Source organism: Homo sapiens, chromosome 5 (assembly GCF_000001405.40).
Source record: "Homo sapiens chromosome 5, GRCh38.p14 Primary Assembly".
Lineage (NCBI taxonomy): Eukaryota > Metazoa > Chordata > Mammalia > Primates > Hominidae > Homo > Homo sapiens.
In genome coordinates this window covers 171,157,857-171,178,874 of record NC_000005.10, presented here as the reverse complement: position 1 = coordinate 171,178,874, position 21,018 = coordinate 171,157,857, and the positions used below count along the sequence as shown (strand labels likewise).

At 36.1% G+C, this 21,018-nt stretch overlaps 1 protein-coding gene across 17 annotated transcripts in view; it reads right to left on the bottom strand.

The window, feature by feature from the left end:
• The window catches only part of RANBP17 (RAN binding protein 17), a 437,998-nt gene that overhangs the window by 121,141 nt on the left and 295,839 nt on the right, over positions 1–21,018 (bottom strand). For 15 of the 17 annotated variants that reach the window (XR_007058628.1, XM_011534627.2, NM_022897.5 and 12 more), the window contains 2 exons: positions 8,672–8,745; positions 7,589–7,669 (listed from right to left, as the gene is read on the bottom strand). Coding sequence is in view for 16 of the 17 variants with exons in the window: in XM_011534627.2 (XP_011532929.1) it covers positions 7,589–7,669; positions 8,672–8,745 (155 nt within the window). In the remaining variant the exon portion in view is untranslated. Of the gene's footprint in view, positions 1–7,588; positions 7,670–8,671; positions 8,746–17,408; positions 17,469–20,380; positions 20,542–21,018 lie in introns of those variants that run through there. The other 2 variants (XM_017009747.2, XM_011534636.3) reach the window with 2 other exon arrangements.

Genomic DNA, 21,018 nt, shown 5'->3' with positions numbered 1-21,018 from the left:
AACAAACAACCCCATCAAAAAGTGGGCGACGGATAGGAACAGACACTTCTCAAAAGAAGACATTTATGTGGCCAACAACCATATGAAAAAAAGCTTATCATTACTGGTCATTAGAGAAATGCAAATCAAAACCACAATGAGATACCATCTCATGCCAGTTAGAATGGTGATCATTAAAAAGTCAGGAAACAACAGATGCTGGCAAGGCTGTGGAGAAATAGGAATGCCTTTACACTGTTGGTGGGAGTGTAAACTAGTTCAACCATTGTGGAAGACAGTGTGGCAATTCCTCAAGGATCTAGAACCAGAAATACCATTTGACCCAGCAATCCCATTACTGGGTATAAACCCAAAGGATGATAAATCATTCTACTATGAAGACACATGCACGCGTATGTTTATTGCAGCACTATTCACAATAGCAAAGACTTGGAACCAACCCAAATGCCCATCAATGATAGACCGGATAAAGAAAATGTGCACATATACACCATGGAATACTATGCAGCCATAAAAAAGGATGAGTTCATGTTCTTTGCAGGGACATGGATGAAGCTGGAAACCATCATTCTCTGCGAACTAACACAGGAACAGAAAACCAAACACCACATGTTCTCACTCATAAGTGGGAGGTGAACAATGACAACACATGGACACAGGGAGGGGAACATCACACGTCAGGGGCCTGTCGGGGGGTGGGGGGGTAGGGGAGGGATAGCATTAGGAGAAATACCTAATGTAGACGATGCATTGATGGGTGCAGCAAACCACCATGGCATGTGTATACCTATGTAACAAACCTCCATATTCTGCACATGTATCCCAGAACTTAAAGTATAACAAAAAAAAAAAAACCACATAAAAAATCCAAATAGGTATAACAACGATGAAGCATCTTAAGGGATACTAATAATTATTTACAAGGAACAGGAGTTAAGTCATAATCACTCAACAGAAGGGGCAACAGTAAGTTCTAAATGCCCACTGTATGAAGTTTTGAAACTATAAAGGAAGGGAAAACAAGTCTTAATCTCTAATAATTTACAATCTAATAGGAGACAGGACCAGCAAATACTAAACTATATTACATTCATACCCAGATATGTAGATTGAAAACAAGGTGTTCACAAACATTAAGAAAAATAAACCACGACTTGAAAGAAAATGAAGGGAATTAACATTTAGTATTAAAGGACTAAGGATTAAGCTATTTCATGATGGCTTTACTAAGTCTTTAGCCAAGACTGAAAAATTGAATAAACCTAGTTGAGTTACAGTGTGTCAAATGAGGGAGAGTGGCAAATGTGGTGATTCAGTGAAAGATAATGAAGGTTATCAAGGGGTAGGTAAAATAAATTTCCTTGGCCCAAGTATAAAGTACAAATTGTGGTCTAATGGAGTATCAGGAAGTTAGCTATGGGAACTCAGTAAGTCAAGTACGGTCAAAGGACTCAAATTTAAGTCAATACTTTTGCTTGACCTAAGAAGCAGGTGGAAGAGATTGTGGGCTTTTGGGAAGAGAAATGATCAGATCAAAACAATACTCAAGGTACGTAATTTTGTGAAACAAAAATCTAAAGAACTTGGTGAAGGTCTAAATAAGGGGGCTACAGAAGAGGAATAGGGAGGATTCTACACCTGATTCTAGTATTCAAACAAACAGAGGAGATAAATTATGGGATGACTTTTCTGTAGCTGATAAAGACAGAAAACAATGAAATAAATCAACATTTCCTCTGATAAAAAATGCTAATAGAAGTATGCCTGAGGGATGTAAGCTGAAACTAGTTTTATTTAACATTCTCACAAACCATCTGGAGATGGTGGTATTCAGTAAAATAAAGCAATGCATTTTAATACTGTTTCACAAAAGCAGAAATATTACTGTTTATTGCTAAATAGTTCCTGTAACAGACATAAACAATTTTAATTTCATCCATCACCCTTGTTTCATTCTTGCCCTTTGCTTCATCTCTCATCCTCTACTCTTTCCTGACACCTACCACATTCAGGATTCACACCCAAATGGTGGGAAGGTCAGAAACAGATGTGAGGATGTCTGGTTTGCACATTACTTGGTAAGTTTAAAAGCTGCATACTTAATGGTTTATCTATAAGCTTATGTCTAAATGACCTCGAATAAAAGGGGCTCCCTCAAATCAGCCATATCACAATGTCACATACCCACATTATTTTTAATGTGTAGATTTTCAGAAAATTCGTATGTAATTTATCTGAGTTAAATTTAAACAGAAGAAATAGAAACTATATTAATAAAACAACTGACTTTAAGCTCTTTGGAGAAATATAGAAAAGGAAGTTTGCAATCAGTGTCAATTCTGTTAGAATTTAAAATCCACGAGGGCAGGGTCTGTGTTTTATTTGTTCTTTTGCCGTGTACTTAGCAAATGCTTAATAAATATTTGCTGAATTGAAAGAGGTCAATAAGATTCAAGATGAGTATGGAATTAAATTTAAAAATCACTATTTTAGTCTTACTAAATGTTAACTCTAGATAAGGATGAAGTTCTAATTATTGTACTTAAAACAAGCAAGCAAAAGAAAGACAAATGGAGCTGGGAAAGGTAGGGGTAAAAAATAAAATTTTCATGGTCATCAAGTGACTTTGATAGAAAATAGATTCTTTGGCTTGTAGAAACGAAAATGACTGAAATAAACTAGTAGATAAATAGATTTATCATGCATATGGATGGGACTTACATTCACCAAATTCAGGTGTACAGGAACTTAAGGGGATAATCTTAGAGAGTCAGTCTGAGGCCAAATGGAAGGAATTATTTCTTTATATCAAACCAAACCAGAGCCAGCTCCACAGGCATGCGGGCTGTATACTTGCATAGTGGACCCTGTGCCTAGAAGAGCCTCTTCATGGTTTAATGCTTTGCTGTTGAGGTCTTGAAATTCTTAACATTTTTTGACCAAGTAACTCCACATTCTTCTTTTTGAGGTGGGCCCTGCAAATTATGTAGCTAGCCTTGCAATAACATGGAGAAGTCATTAATCTTGAGAACTGTTGCGGTTAACAGTATCCATAAGGTAAAAAAAAAAAAAAGTTTGGATAAACTCAAAAACGAATGTGGAACTCTCTTATAGAGTCTGATTTTAAAAAGCTAGATATTGGTATCTCATTGTGGTTCTGATTTGCATTTCTCTAATGACCAGTGATGATGAGCTTTTTTTCATATGTTTGTTGGCTAGATAAATGTCTTCTTTTGAGAAGTGTCTGTTCCTATCCTTCGCCCACTTTTTGATGGGGTTGTTTTTTTCTTGTAAATTTGTTTAAGTTCCTTGTAGATTCTGGATATTAGCCTTGTCAGATGGAGAGATTAAAAAAATTTTCTCCCATTCTGTAGGCTGCCTGTTCACTCTGATGATCGGTGATCATTAAAAAGACAGGAAACAACAGATGCTGGAGAGGATGTGGAGAAACAGGAACGCTTTTACACTGTTGGTGGGAGCATAAGTTAGTTCAACCACTGTGGCAATTCCTCAAGGATCTAGAACCAGAAATACCATTTGACCCAGCAAATCCCATTACTGGGTATATACCCAAAGGATGATAAATCATTCTACTGTAAAGACACATGCACACGTATGTTTACTGCAGCACTATTCACAATGGTGAAGACTTGGAACCAACCCAAATGCCCATCAATGATAGACTGGATAAAGAAAATGTGCCACATATACACCATGGAATACTATGCAGCCATAAAAAAGGATGAGTTCATGTTCTTTGCAGGGACATGGATGAAGCAGGAAACCATCATTCTCAGCAAACTAACACGGGACAGAAAACCAAACACCACATGTTCTCACTCATAAGTGGGAGGTGAACAATGACAACACATGGACACAGGGAGGGGAATATCACACACCAGGGCCTGTAGGGGGGTGAAGGGCTAGGGGAGGGATAGCATTAGGAGAAATACCTGATGTAGATGATGGGTTGATGGGTGCAGCAAACCACCATGGCACGCGTGTACCTATGTAACAAACCTCCACGTTCTGCACATGTATCCCAGAACTTAAAGTATATTTAAAAAAAGGACCTCAAAATACACACACACACACACACACACACACACACACACACACACACTCTAGATATTTTTAGTTTTCTCATGTTTGATGATTATGTAATAAAGGCCAACCACCAACAGAGGGCCTGATAGAGAATGAAATTTCCTTTCTGAAACCCAAGTGGAGCATGTTAACTGCTACAAATTTGAGTAAAGAATAAATTGCAGTAGAAATACTGATCAATTATCTTTCAAAAGAATAAAAACTTGAAATAATGATTACCGAACAAACAGAATTTTGGATAAAATGTGATACTCTTCTCCGTTTTCAGCATTTAAAATAAGTAAGTTTACTTGATTGCTCTGTATGACCCTTATTCTCTCTCCAGTTTTCCCAGGAGCTTCCTTGATTCAATCATTTGAACAATCTCTCCTTTTCCCATTTAGACAGAAACTAAAATTTCTGACCAGGAAACATTTCAAAGAAGGGAAAGATCCCCAAGTACTGAACTTGAACACAGCGGGCTGGCTCTGTACAGAGTCATTTCAGCTCTGTGCCTGTTCAAAAAAGCTACTTCAGAAATTCTTGGAATTTGGTCTTGAAAATATAAAGAGTATGTTAAACAGTTACTCAAATGTATTTGCTAAATTTATTATAAATACCCATGTAATGAATCTGATGGGAAAACATTAACTTTCTGTCAAAAAGGTCACTGGATTTTAAAATAACAATAATCTTACCAATTTGAAAAGTTTCAAATTTGGCAAACAGCAATTCTGGGGTAAAATGCAACAGTCATCCAGTTACAATCTGGGGACTTACGTCCCCACATCATTATTTAGGAACTAGACTATCTCTAAAACTGTAAGTCTAGTGAGTTTTATGAAGTCCTATGAAAAAGTGTCTGTGAGGGAAGTACCAGACTTTTCTGCTCAGGACATACAATGCAGCTCTATTTTCTAACTACCTAAAGACAGAAGTTCTCAAAGTATGGTCCTGGAGCCACCAACTTAACATGAGGCTTGTGAAAACTGCAATTCTCAGGCCTAGGCCTAACACCTCCTGAAAGAGAAACTCTGGGGAGTGGGGCCTAACAATTTGTGTTTTAAAAAGCACTCACATTCCGATGCTCACTAAAGTCTGAGACTACTGCTTTAAGGCAACCAAAGGCTTTTTAATACTTCCTAAAAATGGGGGTCTTGTGTGATTTCAATTTCTAACAAGTGGTCAGATAAAAGACCACCAAAGTTCAGAGACTGGCTTTGAGCACCATAAACACTGAGTAAGGTTCATCTGAAGCAGATAAAATAGAAAAAATAAAACAGAAAGTATCTGAAGACATGTACTATAAATAAAGAACATTAAAAAACTTCATAGTGAGAAACATGCTTTTCATTTACTTCTAATATTTTAAATAAAAATATTTTGAATATTAATATATAAACAGATTTCCAATAACAAGGGCCTATAGGTGATGGTTTTGATCTTGCGTGTTTCTATTGCTGAAGAATGTCATCTTATTCCTAATATAGAAATAATGTATTGCTTTAAAATCAAGACTGAAAAACACATTATAATAAAGAAATCCATTGGAAAAACAAAACATGCATTAGGTAACCAGTAACTGCACTAAAACAGATACACCACTCACATATTCCATTATGTAAATGAATTCAAAGATATTTCATGACTGATCAGCTAGAAGGGACATAATGATTTATAATTCAAATAACTGAGCACTGAAATCAAATTGAACTAATATATATTTCTAAATATGCAAACCTGAAATAATTGCTAAAAAATATAAATCAATGTACCCATGTTGAAATCATTCCTATCCCCTGGCTTAAAATATTATAGCTTTTAAACTTTTATCTAGTAAGTTTTCTGAAAATATGATTTTTTAATTCACTTTGAGAAGTACTCAAAAGCAATAAACAGCATGTAAAATAAAAGGCTATAATATTTGAATTAAAGAATATATAATAGGCTTAATAGGATAGAAAAAGATCTTAAATAGCAGATACAAATAAATTAGGCATTATGCAAATTATACTAAAAGAATACAAATCAAATTAATTTTATACTAAATATCAATTTCAACCTAAAAAAATAGGGTAAATCTAAACAATAGATATATGCTATAAAATAACTGAGGCTTCTTTGCAGATAATATGCTTTCAAAGTAATTCATTGTGAAAAGGCCAGAGTTTGCAATACTAGGAAGTACTTATAAACCACTTCATATGTTAGAAATAAAGAGTATTTCAGCATTATTATTAGAAAAAAATATGGGTTGAGTTTTTTTTTTAATAAGAAAAAATACATATCTTAAAAAGCCAAATGACCATTGGAATTGGGTTGTACATCACTTTCCAGTAAAAAGGAAAAACAGCCTAGACAGGTGTAATTTATCATTTTTCTGATTTAATATCAAAGAAATATATTAAAATAATAAAAAGAATCCTGAAATCCTCAAAATTTGTAGTGATAAATAGCCCTCCCTGGCTTTATTGCATTATACCTACTAACAGAAATATTGCATGGTGGATTTTGCCAGACAAGGACGATTATTTTCCAATAAAAAGTTGCATATTAAATTCCAGCACAAAAGTGGGTGTCTAATACTTTGGAAATCTTTTATGGTTTACCAAGGAATACAATTTTAAACTTAACTAACATAAACATATTCCTGGAATGAACCTACATTAAAGGTTTCCATTCAATGCCACCATTTTCAGAATTTGTCCTCATATTAAAAGATCAGCTAATCTTAGTGATTAATCCAACACTTATCTTTCACAAGTCCTATATATTTGATAGCTAATGTAGAAAAGAAAATCTACATGATTCTCTCTAGTTGTTAGAAATATGACAATACTGTCAACTAGACTTTAGTAAGAAGATTCTTGGTTTTAGAATTTTAAAAATCTGCTAGACAGAGAAATCTAAACATTTAATGTATAATGGGGAATCTTATTTTAGATTAGATTAGATGTTGATTTGGTGGGGGCAATAATCAAAGAAATGGTCAAAAAACTTATTTTCTTTGTATTACTCCATTGTGCCTTTCAACTAATGAAAATGATGTTCTTTTCAACTGAAGAATATTAGAGATATATTTACTCACAGGAATGCAGTTTTTATAAGGTAATATTTTTAGAACATTTTGACCTCCTTAAAATTAAGTTACATACTTTCTTTTAGGACACGAATTTCTGACAATTACAAAAAAGCATGAACTAAAATACATGTGGACTTTCTTATATAACCATTTATTAGCCTGGGTGAGTATAAATATAACTGTAACTACTTAGGAATCTATATGTCCATATAAATTCAACAGTGATTCCGACTAAATGCTTCATAGTATACAGCTAATTAAAACCTTTCAAAAACATGCATTTACAGATAAGGCTAAATGAAAGGTCTTTTTATTTTTTTAAAAAATTGCAAAAATTATAAACAAGGAGAATACCTGGTTAATTAAATGCATCTGCTAGGTTGTTTACACATAATGTCAGATATACAGTGAAAAGGATATCCAACAGAAAGGTCATTTAGGAACTGAAGAGTCCTTGAAATTACAGGCTCATATCTTCCCCAGTATTTAAGGTTTGTAACACTAAATATGAAAAAAAGTCTTTAATTATAAGTAAGATATTTGCTTGTCTAAGGAGAACCAGAGAATACACATAAATTTATGTAAGTTTGATGACCTAAATCACAAATATTTTGAAAGTGAAAAACAGGCTCAAAAACATTGTCTATTCTTTCAATAGCATATTCAAAATTATATGCAATCTGCAATGAATATTGCTCTCCAAATGGTGTATAATTCTACATATTTAGTTTTGTAAATTAAAAAGTTGTCTAAGTGTTTCACTGGAAAACATCAAGTTTGTACCCAAAACATATTAGGGAGGAGAAGCAGGAGTTACAAAGAAAGCCAAATAGAGGCTCACTGTTACTGCCAAATAATGAACCATCAATCTGTGGCTCCAAAACTCACTTCTTATGATCACGACTGTTTATCTAACTTTGCTGTCTGCAATCAAGACAGTGTTGTTTGTCTGTTACACAGATAAAGCGGGGTGCCAGGTGGAGGCATACAAGTTTGGCTACGTGTACAAAGTTATGACTAGAAACTAGTTTATTCTGCTAATGTTATAAGTCCAATATAAGGACAGTTTCCATGAATATGTCTCTGCCAGCCATAGGTTTCTCTTAGAACTAATGAATGCCCTATCAGACCTCTCTCAATGATTTCAATTTGCAATAATCTCTTCACGTGGTCTTTCAAATCGCGTGCTTTTCTTTTTAAATAAAAAAAAATGCTGCCCAATTGATCTGAAGAGTCAAGGTCTGTAAATCTTTTAAAATCATCATCTGATGCTGCACGCTGCCGTTGTATGGAAACTTGACAAATTACAATGTCCTTTGGATGGTGACTTTTCAATATGTGAAATTAAGTTTCAATTAAGAACAATGCTAACATTCTAACAAAGCATAATTTTAAGTCTTTTATTTAAAAATTAATATATAAAAAGGTTTAAATACAATAAAAAGATCTATTACATTTAAAACAACAACAAAAGAAAAATTAAAGACCAAAACAAGAACTCACATTTTTGTCATGAACGTCTCTAGAACGTGGTTGTCATCTGTTATTCCTAAGACTTCTGACATACGAGCATATACCTGCATTAAAACATTTCATTGTTAAAAGTTTTACTATTAACATATATTTTCAAAAGACTATTCGAATTGAACAAACATAAGATTTAATGCACTGTGGTATCCACACTGAAGTAGGGAGTGGGTGGGAGAGCAAAGGAATTTTTTAAAAAGAATCTTATAATTTTAAAATTTGCTAACTTTTTCCTCCAGATCGCTCCTATTTTGAAATATATAAACGCTTACACACAAACACACTCATATATCCATTTTACTCCCACCACACCACACACATTTTTTTTTTTTCTCAAAGTGGTAGACCACCCCTTTCTGGAAGACGGGAGTAGGTATGCAAAGGGCTGGAAAGTAGAGTACTTCAACAAAAGGTTCCAACACTTAAAAATTTTCCACCTATTCTAGATTTCAGCAAAATATTAACCATTTCAGGATTATTTAAGGCAGTTATAAAAATAAGGATTTAAAAAAATCAAAGGAAGTTAACTTATAGAAATTCTCCTCAAATATTACCTAATTAAGCTTCCCCAAATATACAGGTACGTCTTACTTTTCATGTTGACACTGAAATCCCAAGCTCAGGGATTCCCTGTTGAAAACATCAGGGCCTGGGAATCCACTAAGCTTCCAATTAGGGAGTGTTGGTTGCAGAGTTTGGGGTGCAACATTTCAGTCTCAATCCAAGCCACATTAAGCTTATAAACACATATCCCACTTCAAGTGGGAAAATGCCACTTATACCCCTTACTAGCCTGGCAAAGCTGAGAGGTGGGTTGACACCTCCATACTCCCTGATGCTCTGGTGTGATTCCAGGTTATCCCTGCCAGTCACCAGCTGTATGGGATTTCTCTTCTGTGATTTGATCCTCTGTGATTGTGTTCTCTCACTTTCTCCTAATCTGCCTATTTCTTATGTACAGCAACATAGCTTCTATTCCCTCTGTCTTTTGTTTTTTATATCTGAACACGAGCTTGATACACCACCATAGGTCATGAAGGTATCACAGGGGCAACACAAATCACCCAGAGGTATAGGGTCATAGAGGGGAGGAAAGCTGCCATTGTAGAAATTTCTTTTCTGGATTTTAAATACCATTTGAACCAGCAGGTTGTGTTCCAGGCTTTCAACCTGAGTCCTGTGTCTGGAAGCCTTCTCCTCAGGCTGATGGAGTGAATCAGAGGGAGAGAAAAAGAGGGAGAGGAGGAAGGGTTAGGTGTAGAGGGTGACAGAAGGCAGGAAGGGCTGAACGGTGGAGAGCAGAAGCTGGGGAAGAAAGAGAGAGAGAGAGAGAGAAACAGAGAGAGAGAAAGGAAGACTGAGATTCAAATTCCTGCTGCCTTACCTACTAACTTCTGAGCCCTACAGAAAAGCATTTCAGTGATTATATATCTGTGACTTTGCCCATGAGAGTAGGCCTTCATCTCTAACAAGATTAAAGTGACCATTGTTGCTTGTAAGATGTTTGGGGGAAAGAGGGAGCTAAGGAGGAGAGAGAATCTAAAGAAGTCAGTTACCAACAATCCTCAATAATCACAAACCTTTAAGCACAAAGAGGGCTCTAATGAAGAATGATATGTAGAACAGAAAGTTTCCCTAAGCTCACCATGATGCCAAACCTCTCTCGTATATAGAAGTATACAAATTGGGTCCCTTGGAAAACCTAGCATCGACATGATTAATGGCACACAAAGCATTTCACAACTTGGCCTCAGCCTACCTCAACTTCCACATTTCCCTCAACCTCAAGCCACAATAAAATGCTGATGGATCACTGAGACATCTCATGCAATTTCAGATTTTTATGTGTTCATGTGCTGGTCATTTTGCCTCAATCAGTCTTCTTCCTCTTTTTCCCCTCATACTCATTCAAAAGTCATCTCCTCTGAAGGCTTCCTAGGCACAGTGAGTTGAACTCTCCTTTATGTTCCCACAACGTCCAGTCCATTCCTCTGTCATGGCGCTTTTCACACTGTAACTGTTTGGATGTGAATCTCCCTCATGACACTGAGTGCTTCTTGAGGGGTGACACTATGCCTTATTCTTTGTGTCCCTACTATTGCACCTAGGGCAATATGTGTCAAGTGAATACTACGTGGCTTTAATGTGCAGTGGAAGGACACGGTCTGGATCTACTAGGACTATATTATAATGTGAATAGTTTTTACACAAAGAGAGAGAAACGACTTTTCCCATTAAGCACATATTGGATTCTACAGACAAAATACATAGAATCGTAAATTACAACAGAAAAAGAAAAGTAGCTAGAGAGAACAGCTTGAATATTTAGTAACTGATTATAGCAATTGTCTTTAATTTTATTTTAGTGGCACCCCTGTCAAGAGATCCTTAAAATAAGCCCAGTTTTATAAAATCAACTAACAGTAGGGATCAGACACCCTACTGTGTGCCCTGCTTTACCCACTTGCTCAGTTCCAGGGCCAGAGACTGTGTGCCCTTAACTCTGACTGGAATTTAAAAGGCACGTTTGTTTAACAAAGATGAAAATATGAATGAGTATGTTTAAACTAGCTTTACCACAACTCAAAGCACAAATTCTTTGATGGTACACAGGATCATTTATATAGATAAATGAAATTAATAATAAATTCCATGACATCCTGGTTTTGGAAAGGATGTGTCCATGGCATTATCTCAAATTACTTATTTTCTTCTTATTGTATTTACATCTTTACTGGTTAATTTTCTTGTTTTCGATAAATAACTACAGTGGACTTTCGTAAAATCAAATTTTACATTTTCAAGACATTATAAATGCCTTTTTTATGGCAAAACTCAGACATAATTTTTGTTTTAATCATTTTATTATGCATTTTAAAATGTGATTTTAAACATTTCAAACATTTTAACATTAAAAAATGTGCTTTCTAATTCAATGGGTCCTACAAGGAAGTTTTCCTACCGTGTCCCTGGCATTCAAAAGAGGAGGAAGCTAGGCAGGCAGGTCTGTTGTGTTCTGCTGTCAAAACAGTTTCTCAAAGCATCAGATCTGACCCAATAATATACTAGAAAAACAGTCAACATTGACACATGGCAGTGCTTTAATCCACAATTATCCTTGTAACTTGCACCATTCCTTTTATCATCCATTAGCTTTGATTCCCATTATCCCATCTAGAACTGTGTCAATGCTTTTGTCCTTGGGGATTTCTCTCCACTACTAGGATCTGACAGTCAAGCTTGAGTACTAAACAGGATCATTACCTCTTAAATCCACTTATCTGATCTACTGAATAGTAAATTGAAAAGCTCATTAAGAGCAACAATCTGATTTGTTTTCATGTGTGACAGGGTCATTTAAAATCAATGTATGATTACAGTGTTTCTTTTAAAAGACTGTTTCTCATTTTTCAAGGTACCTTATCATTCAGATAACATGCAGAAAACATGAAAATGTCTCCAAACATTTGAAATTTAATTATCCCTTTTAAACATGGATAATTTGGGAGTGAGAAGTAATTTGTTCAGTTAGGAAATACCTACAAAATCGTTTATCATCAAGCACAGGTCAATGAAAGTCTTCTACAGAAAAATCTTCTAACACAGTATTTAGAGTTTTTAACACTTTCTACAACTTGTATTATTTCAACCGAAATAATTTTTATGACACCAAGAAGAAACCATATTGCAGTATCTATTTTAAGGAAGTATATAGGAGTTACATAGGAATGCAAGAAAAGGAAAAAAAAAAAACTCACTTTCAGTCCACAGATTCCTTGTCTCTTATTTCAGAATGTATTAAGATAATCTCATCACAATGAAAAATGAGTCAAAATCTAAGAAATAAGAGACTAAACCTATCTGTGTGGTCATCCTTCAGAGAAGGATGGCCAATACAATGACACTGAATATATGGTTATGCCTTTGGTTATGAGTTTTATATAGTCAGAGATGCACATTCTGTAACCAAGGTTTTGCCTGTCTGAGCCCTCCTCCCTTCTTTCCTTCTTCTGCATTTCATAATATGCCTGCATAATAGACTGTAAGCTCCCTGAGAGCAGAAATGATGCTCTGTTTTTTTAAAATCTCACGTGCCTACTACTCAATAATGTTTCTTAAATGAATAAAAAGAATATATGGTTAAAATGTACATTTTGGTCAATCCCATTTCATATATGATTCTTTAACAAAGGAAAACGCATAAAAGGCATGTATTCTTCCCCCTGTGAAATAATATACCCCAAATCCTACCCATCTGGGATGAACACTGGTAAAATGTTGTCATTTTAAAAGGTGTGGTTTTAATGCTTAAATAATATTTCTGGAAGAAGCTCTCCCTATAAATTCAGTAAGAAGAGTCTTAATTTGAAACCTTGCCAGCCTGTTACGGGCACTTCTCAAAACATATAATAGAATATGATATTTTTGTAGTATTAATTTCCACACGAATACGTTTCCTCCACTATTTTCAGCATGTACTCCTGGAATGCAGGGGAAATGTCTATTTCTCTTTACATCTCCAGTGGTATATTGTCTTAGAACACTGTCGTGATAAACTTAGCAAGTAGAAAAAGCACAGACTTTGGTCCCAAAGATACTGCATTTGAATTCTATATCTGCCACTAACTAGGTGTTTCTTAAGGTCTCTGAATCTTGGTTTCTTACCCATAAAATAGTAATAATAATAATAATACCTACTTTAGGCTGGGCGCGGTGGCTCATGCCTATAATCCCAGCACTTTGGGAGGCCGAGGTGGGAGGATTGCTTGAGCTCAGGAGTTCGAGACCAGCCTGGGCAACACGGTGAAACCCCAAACTAAAATACAAAAAATTAGCCGAGCGTCGTGGCGTGTACCTGTAATCCCAGCTACTTGGGAGGCTGAGACAGGAGAATTGTTTGAACCTAGAAGGCGGAGGTTGCAGTGAGCCAAGATTGTGCCATTGCACTCCAGCCTGGGTGACAGAGCGAGACTCCATCTCAAAAAAAACAAAAAAACAAAAAAACCTACTTTATGGGCTTTTGATTAGATTAAATGATGATCCCGAACTCAGAGCTTGACATTTAATAGTTACTCAACAAATGCTGTTTCCCTGTACAACCTTTCATTGACCCTTCTGCACAGTAGGTGCTGAAGTGGTCAGGTAACACCTTTTGAAGAGAAGGCTCTTCACATGAAAAATAACAGAAAAAATCAGAAGGTGCTTTGAAGATTTTCACACAGCATAAAGACGGTTAAAACAAATAAACAAAATCTTATAATCTGTATCCATAACTCTTAAATCTTTACAAATATGTTCAATTAACACCTTCTAGTAACACTCAGAAATTGCATTTGTTAAAGGCATAAAGGAACTGCTTCAAAATTTCATGATACAAAATCAAATTCTTTCTACTTCTCAATGTGTATTGTCTTAGAAACTAGAAAAATTACCCATTTTAACCAGTTACCCATCTCTCTTGCTCCTGAAATATGGAAAGTGATTAGAAATGTAAGGAATTATCATTATTACAGATTTGAGAAGGCATGCTCTTAAAAAACTGTTTTAATATATTTGTTTTCTTAGCCGTATTTATTTTACTGCAAAGGTTCTTATAAATTTAAGAAAAGAGCATTTGGATAGTACATAATGCTTCAATGAGCCAATACATTCTCCAAATTCTCAACTCATCAAATGACAAATATTGCCTGTAGAATTTGCAAGTAGCTTAAAAGATGTTACATATGGTTTTAAAAAGGGAACTAGGTAAGAAAAACAGATGCGGACATAAACTACAAATAGCAACATAATTTTGAGTTGTACATTTAATAAAGAATAAAAAAAGCATGTGCCGAAATAATTTTTAAAATTTCTTTTACCAATCCTAATCCTTAGTCTTAGGTATCTGGAGCACTGTCTCTAACATTCTGGTTATAACTCTGAGGAAACTAATTATGTCAATCTTTAAATTTGGAGTAGATTACAGAACTGGGAAACCCAGAATATTAGTTCCTAAAGATTGTATGGATATATAATGACAGTCACAGAAATTCAATAACAGTCCTTTATGAAATGTACTCAAAAGCACCACATGAAACAAATTAAAAAGAACAACGAATCTCTCATTCTGTGCAAATAAGAAAATAAGAGAAAACACTGGTTCTATAGGTTTTCAAAAGAGTTTTTATAATGAATTAAGATTTTGGATAATGAATCTTCAGAAAATTATAGTAAGTTAATACCCTTAGGCCTTCTATAAGTGTTTAAGATGCTATAACTTCTCAAAGAGCTTTAGTGCATTGTTTAAGCAGGCTCAATGCAGAAAATTAACAGTGCAGTAGAAGTCAACAACAAAGTATTTTGCCATTGGATGACAAACCTTCTCTGAACCAATTTATTCTCAAAAACATATCAGGTAATACAAAAGTGATACCACAAAAGATCCCCCAAATATTACTGTGAATTTTCAAGTATTGTTTCAATCTATTGGAATGACTTATTAATGAAGGTTTTTAACTGGTTCTAAATTGGTAAAACAAAACCTGTCACTGGAAAGGATCCAATATAATGAAAGCATTAGTGTTCCTTAGGAAGAGAATTTAGGAACACAGTATGAAATCACTTACTATGAATAAGAAATCAATTTTCATATTTTTGTTTTAGGCTTCAAGTGCCTTTGAGGTCAATTCAGTGCTTTCTATAAGAAAGACCTCATCAATGTGAAAGGCATTAGTAGAGGAGGGAGGAGGAGAGGTGTAAGAAAGAATAGAGCATTTAATGACTTGGATCTAAACCATTTGGAACTAAAGGTACTTAGCTCTTTCATTAACATTTGAAGCAGGATAAAATATGATAATCACAATTAACTTATCACCATAACAAGAGAATTAATGGTACAAACATCATTGCTGTATATTAAATACACAAACTTAGTGACACTGAATAGATCCACATTAATCCTGGGTGACTAATTTTTCCATATCGTTTCAAATAACATCACTAAATATAAGCCTGAAATTAGACAGAAAAATCTTTTGCCAGAATTTGATTTTAAAACCATAATTTATGTTGGAAATCAAGTGGTAAAAGGTGAATAATCCTGCTTGCCTCATTCAGTTGAATAAGGAACAGCATCTGATAAAGAAAAACTGGTTATGGAAGTATAAAATACATCTGAATGTTAAACATTTATTTCAATTAGAATATCTGAACCCACCATCTGTGGTGGCCATCTTGCTAAGGGCACATGTACCTAACAAATCTCTTAAGAGGCATTCCCAGTCTGCTTGAATAAGCTATTGTATAAGAAAACTTGGAGTGACCACTTTGGCCTCACATTTCCTTCGCTCCACATCCTGTGGCACAAAGCATGAACTCAGCAGGCTGGGGTGCAGGGCTGCCTGCTGCCTTGTGATAATCCCCTCTCCCAGTAGGGGCCTCCACTGATGCATGGCTAAGAACATGCTTCCTCTTTTGCTTGCACCCCAGTGGGGTTTCCATTTCTAACTTGGGCCCAAATCCAGACTGCTAAGGAAGGTGGAAAAGTCAGAAAGCTCCAGATGCTGTCAGAGATATTTCTGAGTCAGTTTCTAAACAATAATTTATTAGAAAGAGTACAGGTATAATGTGAAAACCAGCAAGGCTGGTAATTTTGGAGAGATTCTTTTCCTCCCACCCCCAAGCAGATCTAGGGTCTAACTACCACCTGTTCAACAGAAGCTGGCTGTTTGCCTTACTTTCCTTCAGGGAGCCACTGACTAAGGATCTCCACCAGCATGAACCTAATGCCTCCCGACAGGCCTTCCCTAGCCAAGAGGGACCTGGGTTGAGTGCACCAGTTACTGGTCACAGGATATGCAGTCCACAGAAAGACTCCTGTGGTGCAACCAGCTGAAAGCCAACCAGAGAAAATGGAGAGTGTACATTTGTCCTGACACAGCTTTGCTCCTGTTGGCTGCCAATTCACTCCATGTCTGGGGCCAAGCTTCTGTTAAACTAGTCTTCTATGGATAAAGCCATGGTAAAGCCCTGGGTAAATATATTATCTCCCCAAGCCCATTCAAAAAGAAGCTAACTATGGCTATGGCACCAGATGCTTGGGAAGAAGGCTTAATTTTAGTAGAGGATTTTGGGACCATGGTTTGAAAGAGCATTTCAGACAGTTAAAGGAATATTTATAATTCTTTGCAATAGCAAGTTTATAAGATGACGATTAAATTTTAGGGCAAAGAAGCTGATGCTGGATGAAGTTTGTGAGAGGGTGATAGCAGAGGTGGGGAACTGGGAAGTAAAATATTTTGTTTAATCCCCCGTACCTCCTAAAGGTGTCAGCCAGAAACACATTCTGACACAAGGGATACATGTGCTCTAGACACTGTTCAATAACAGATGCTATTCAATGTAGCCAAATAAAACTTTCTTAAGTATTAATAACTGATTATAATTGGTTACTCAGCAATGTTAGCATCAAGAAATCTAGGATGCTTTTGTACTATGCAACCACATTAAATATAGGCTTTGCAGCTAATACTGCTTATTAGTGGACTACTAAACCTTTGGCTATAAAATATGAACATTGTAGAATTATATAATGCATAAAAAGGGAATGAAGACAATGCATGCCTACACTTAATCATTGTATGCATATGCCTGTTTTACTAATTAGAATCTGAGGCTGTAGTGAGACAAGCATAAAGATTGCTGGTCCACCATCATAACCAGCAACCCAACTCACCTTAACTATTTTCCAAGCCTTCTCTGGAACTCTGGGTACATCACTCCTCAGGCGTACAACCTAAAAAGCACAAAGTTTAGGGACCTGCCACCTGGCACCAGAAATAAGAGCAAAAGGCCTCCCCAATCTCAAATAAAAGGAGAAAGTGGCTGACAATCTTTGTGGTTGTTACTTATGATATTCTTGGGACTTTGATTTTATTCTGGAGCCCATGAGCAGAGACATGGTGAAGTCCTGTTCAAATTCTGGATGTGGTTATATGAATGACAATGGGATTGCTTCAGTGAGATAATTCCAGAAACCAGTTACTAAAAGCTAGCCCTAAAAAAGAATAAATCATAAATAATATTTGACAGAATGATTTTTAAGAATCTCAGCCGGGCGCGGTGGCTCACGCCTGTAATCCCAGCACTTTAGGAGGCCGAGATGGGTGGATCACCTGAGTTCCAGACTAGCCTGGCCAACAAGGTGAAACCCTGCTTCTACTTCTACTAAAAATACAAAAAATTAGCAGGGCGTGGTGGCACGCGCCTGTAATCTCAGCAACTTGGGAGGCTGAGGCAGGAGAATCACTTGAACCCAGGAGGCAGAGGTTGCAGTGAGCTGAGACTGCTCCATTGCATTCTAGCCTGGGCGACAAGAGTGAGACTTCATCTCAAAAAAAAAACCAAAAAGAATCTCTTAGTACTGTTTCCCATGAAGCACTTTCATTATAGAAGTGTGGCAACTGAGGCTAATGACTTAAGCAGGCAAAGTAACCTTCTGATTGGCAAAAGTACATCTTTTAACTAGGGTTACAAAGTATAATATCACAAAATAGGAGGTAATCTAGTGAAGTGGTTAGGAATAGATTCTGAAGCCCAAGACTAGTGAGATTCTGCCACTTACTAAGTAATTTTGAGCAAGTTGCTTACCCTTTAAACCTTAGTTTCCTCAAATATAAAAAGGATGAGAGTAGTACCTAATCTGTGGAATTTTTGAGATTAAAATGGTTAATTTATGTGAAGGACCTATAACAGTCCTGGTATACAGTAAAATTTTCATAAGTATTACCTATTATTTTTATTGGAATGTCTCTTTTCTTTGTGCTTTATCTGGACTAGATACTAGAAAACAGATATATGTTCTAAGTGGGTATGTGAGTAGCTTTAGTAGTAGTTAGAGGGGAGAGGGTCTTAATGAAAGGTAACATAACTTCTAATATTAAATAATGGGTCTAGTCTTTGAGTCTTGCAAAGAAATAAAGTAGTAAGAAAAGTGATAGAAAAAAAGTCAGGAGAAAAACAGAATGATCTGTGGTATTTGGTGTTATTTTATCTCAAGAACTTATCTGCATCACCTATATTGCCAGATTCAAAGCTTTCATCCTCATTTTTTGAGTCAATACAAGTTCCTGCTTCCTATCTCCAAGGTAAGTTTTCAACTCACTGAGTAAGTAGATGATCACTGTGTCCAATAAGTTATCAAAGTTTTCCCCATTCAGATCAATAGGTCCATCCAATTGTCCAAATTTTCTTCTTTTTTCTTTTTTTTTTTTTTTTTTTTTTTTGAGATGGAGTCTCACTCTGTCGCCCAGGCTGGAGTGGCATGATCCTGGCTCACCGCAAGCTCTGCCTCCCGGGTTCACATCATTCTCCCGCCTCAGCCTCCCGAGTAGCTGGGACCACAGGCGACTGCCACCACGCCCAGCTAAGTTTTTGTATTTTTTTAGTAGAGACGAGGATTCACCGTGTTAGCCAGGATGGTCTTGATCTCCTGACCTCGTGATCCACCTGCCTCAGCCTCCCAAAGTGCTGGGATTATAGGCGTGAGCCACTGTGCCCGGCCCAAATTTTCTTTACTAAATTAATGTACACAGACACGGGGGTCCAGAACACTATCATTAGTTTAAAATTATTAAGAGTTTTTAGGTGATGGGCTCCCAAGGGGCATTCTCTCACAGTGGGAACAGAAAGGGGCTACCTTTCAGAAATAAATATAATATTACTGATCTCTGACACTAGACTATTGGTTCTAGGTTGCTTCTCCTATTGTAGGACATAAAATATCAAGGATCTAGCTTAGTTCTTTTGTGACTGATGGCGAGCCAGGACTAGACATCCAATCTTCAGTTAAAGAAATGAGTCTTTTCCTTGGGAAGTAAAACAGCTAGTATGGAGATGAAACTTATGATATTGGCATTATCAGTCAACACACTCTGAAACTGATCATTCCTGGACTCATGCCTAAATACATACATAGCCAATGTGATACAGCGAAAAGCAAACTGGGTTCAGAGTAAGATGATCTGGTTGAAACCAAGGGCCTGCCACTAAACAAGCTTTTAATTCTGAAATTGTTTCATATTTCTGCAAAATGATATTCATGTATATTAAACAGAACATTGTTGAGAAGACTAAATGAGAAAATGTAATGAATAATTCAGCAAAGTGGTTAAATGCAAAGCAGAAACCCATTGCAGGTTAGATTAAGGTTGAAGATAAACTGCATTCTCAAGTGATATTTCCTAGATATTTCTCATTCTACATTACCTGAAAATACAGGATTCATAACTTACAACATGGATAATGTTTTAACCCCCAACACCTTAATCTTTAGGAAGGTTAGAGAGTATCATGTGTTAGGCAGCCGCACCTGCTGGAAAGTGTGGTATGACAGCCCATAGCTCATGAATGCAAATGACCAGATAAAAAGGGCAGGTGAGAACTGGCACCAACAAGCATGAAAACATTTCTAATGAGTCAGAAAAGTGGGCCAAGAGGGAGCAAGGAAGGAAGTGACCATGAAAATTGAGAGACAGAAATGGACAATAAATGGTCAAAGGCTTAAGAAAAAAAAAAAAGGTTACAACAAAACTTGAGAATTGCAATTCTCAGCAAATGGAAAGCCACCAGTACTAAGGTGTTTAGCACATTTCAAAATTTTCTATTATGTTATAATTTTTCTTGTTAAAAGTTTCCAACTAAACTTACTGGGCATAGGAGATTTTCCATGGAAATGCATTTCCAATTTTGTAATGGGTGTCAACCAGAAAATGCAATTCACATAGGAGAAACTTGTTTCAAAGCCAACTTGCTTAAACACATCTATTCAGTAAAGCAAGGGATACTGGCGCTGGGGAGCCACGCAAGGCCTAGGGGAAAACAAAATTCCAATAAGTATGCCAAATGTGCTTTTATATTTCAAGACTCCTTCAAAAGAAACATTATGGGGAGATAAAAATTAGGAAAACACTGAACTTAACTAATTTAAAATGTTGAAAAAATATTTTGCATTTATGTTTTATAACCAAGTGCTTTTCTCACATTTGTCCCAAGGCAGCAGATAAAGCACTATATTCACCATTGCTAATACTAGCAATTGGAACATGCTCTTTGGCAAGGCAGAAATAAGATAATTGTTCAACATAGGCTGGCTTTTCAGAAATACTGGAAGCATTGCCTGTAATTATAGACATCTGTCACTGCTAGCCACTCAGTACTAACCCTGACATCAATATACAACCATAGCACTAAACTGCCTGCAGGCATAGCAATGGAGACCAGATACGCTAGGCAGGCAATCATCTGCTTCATCCAAACTATCTGTCAAAGGTTCCCAACCACAAATA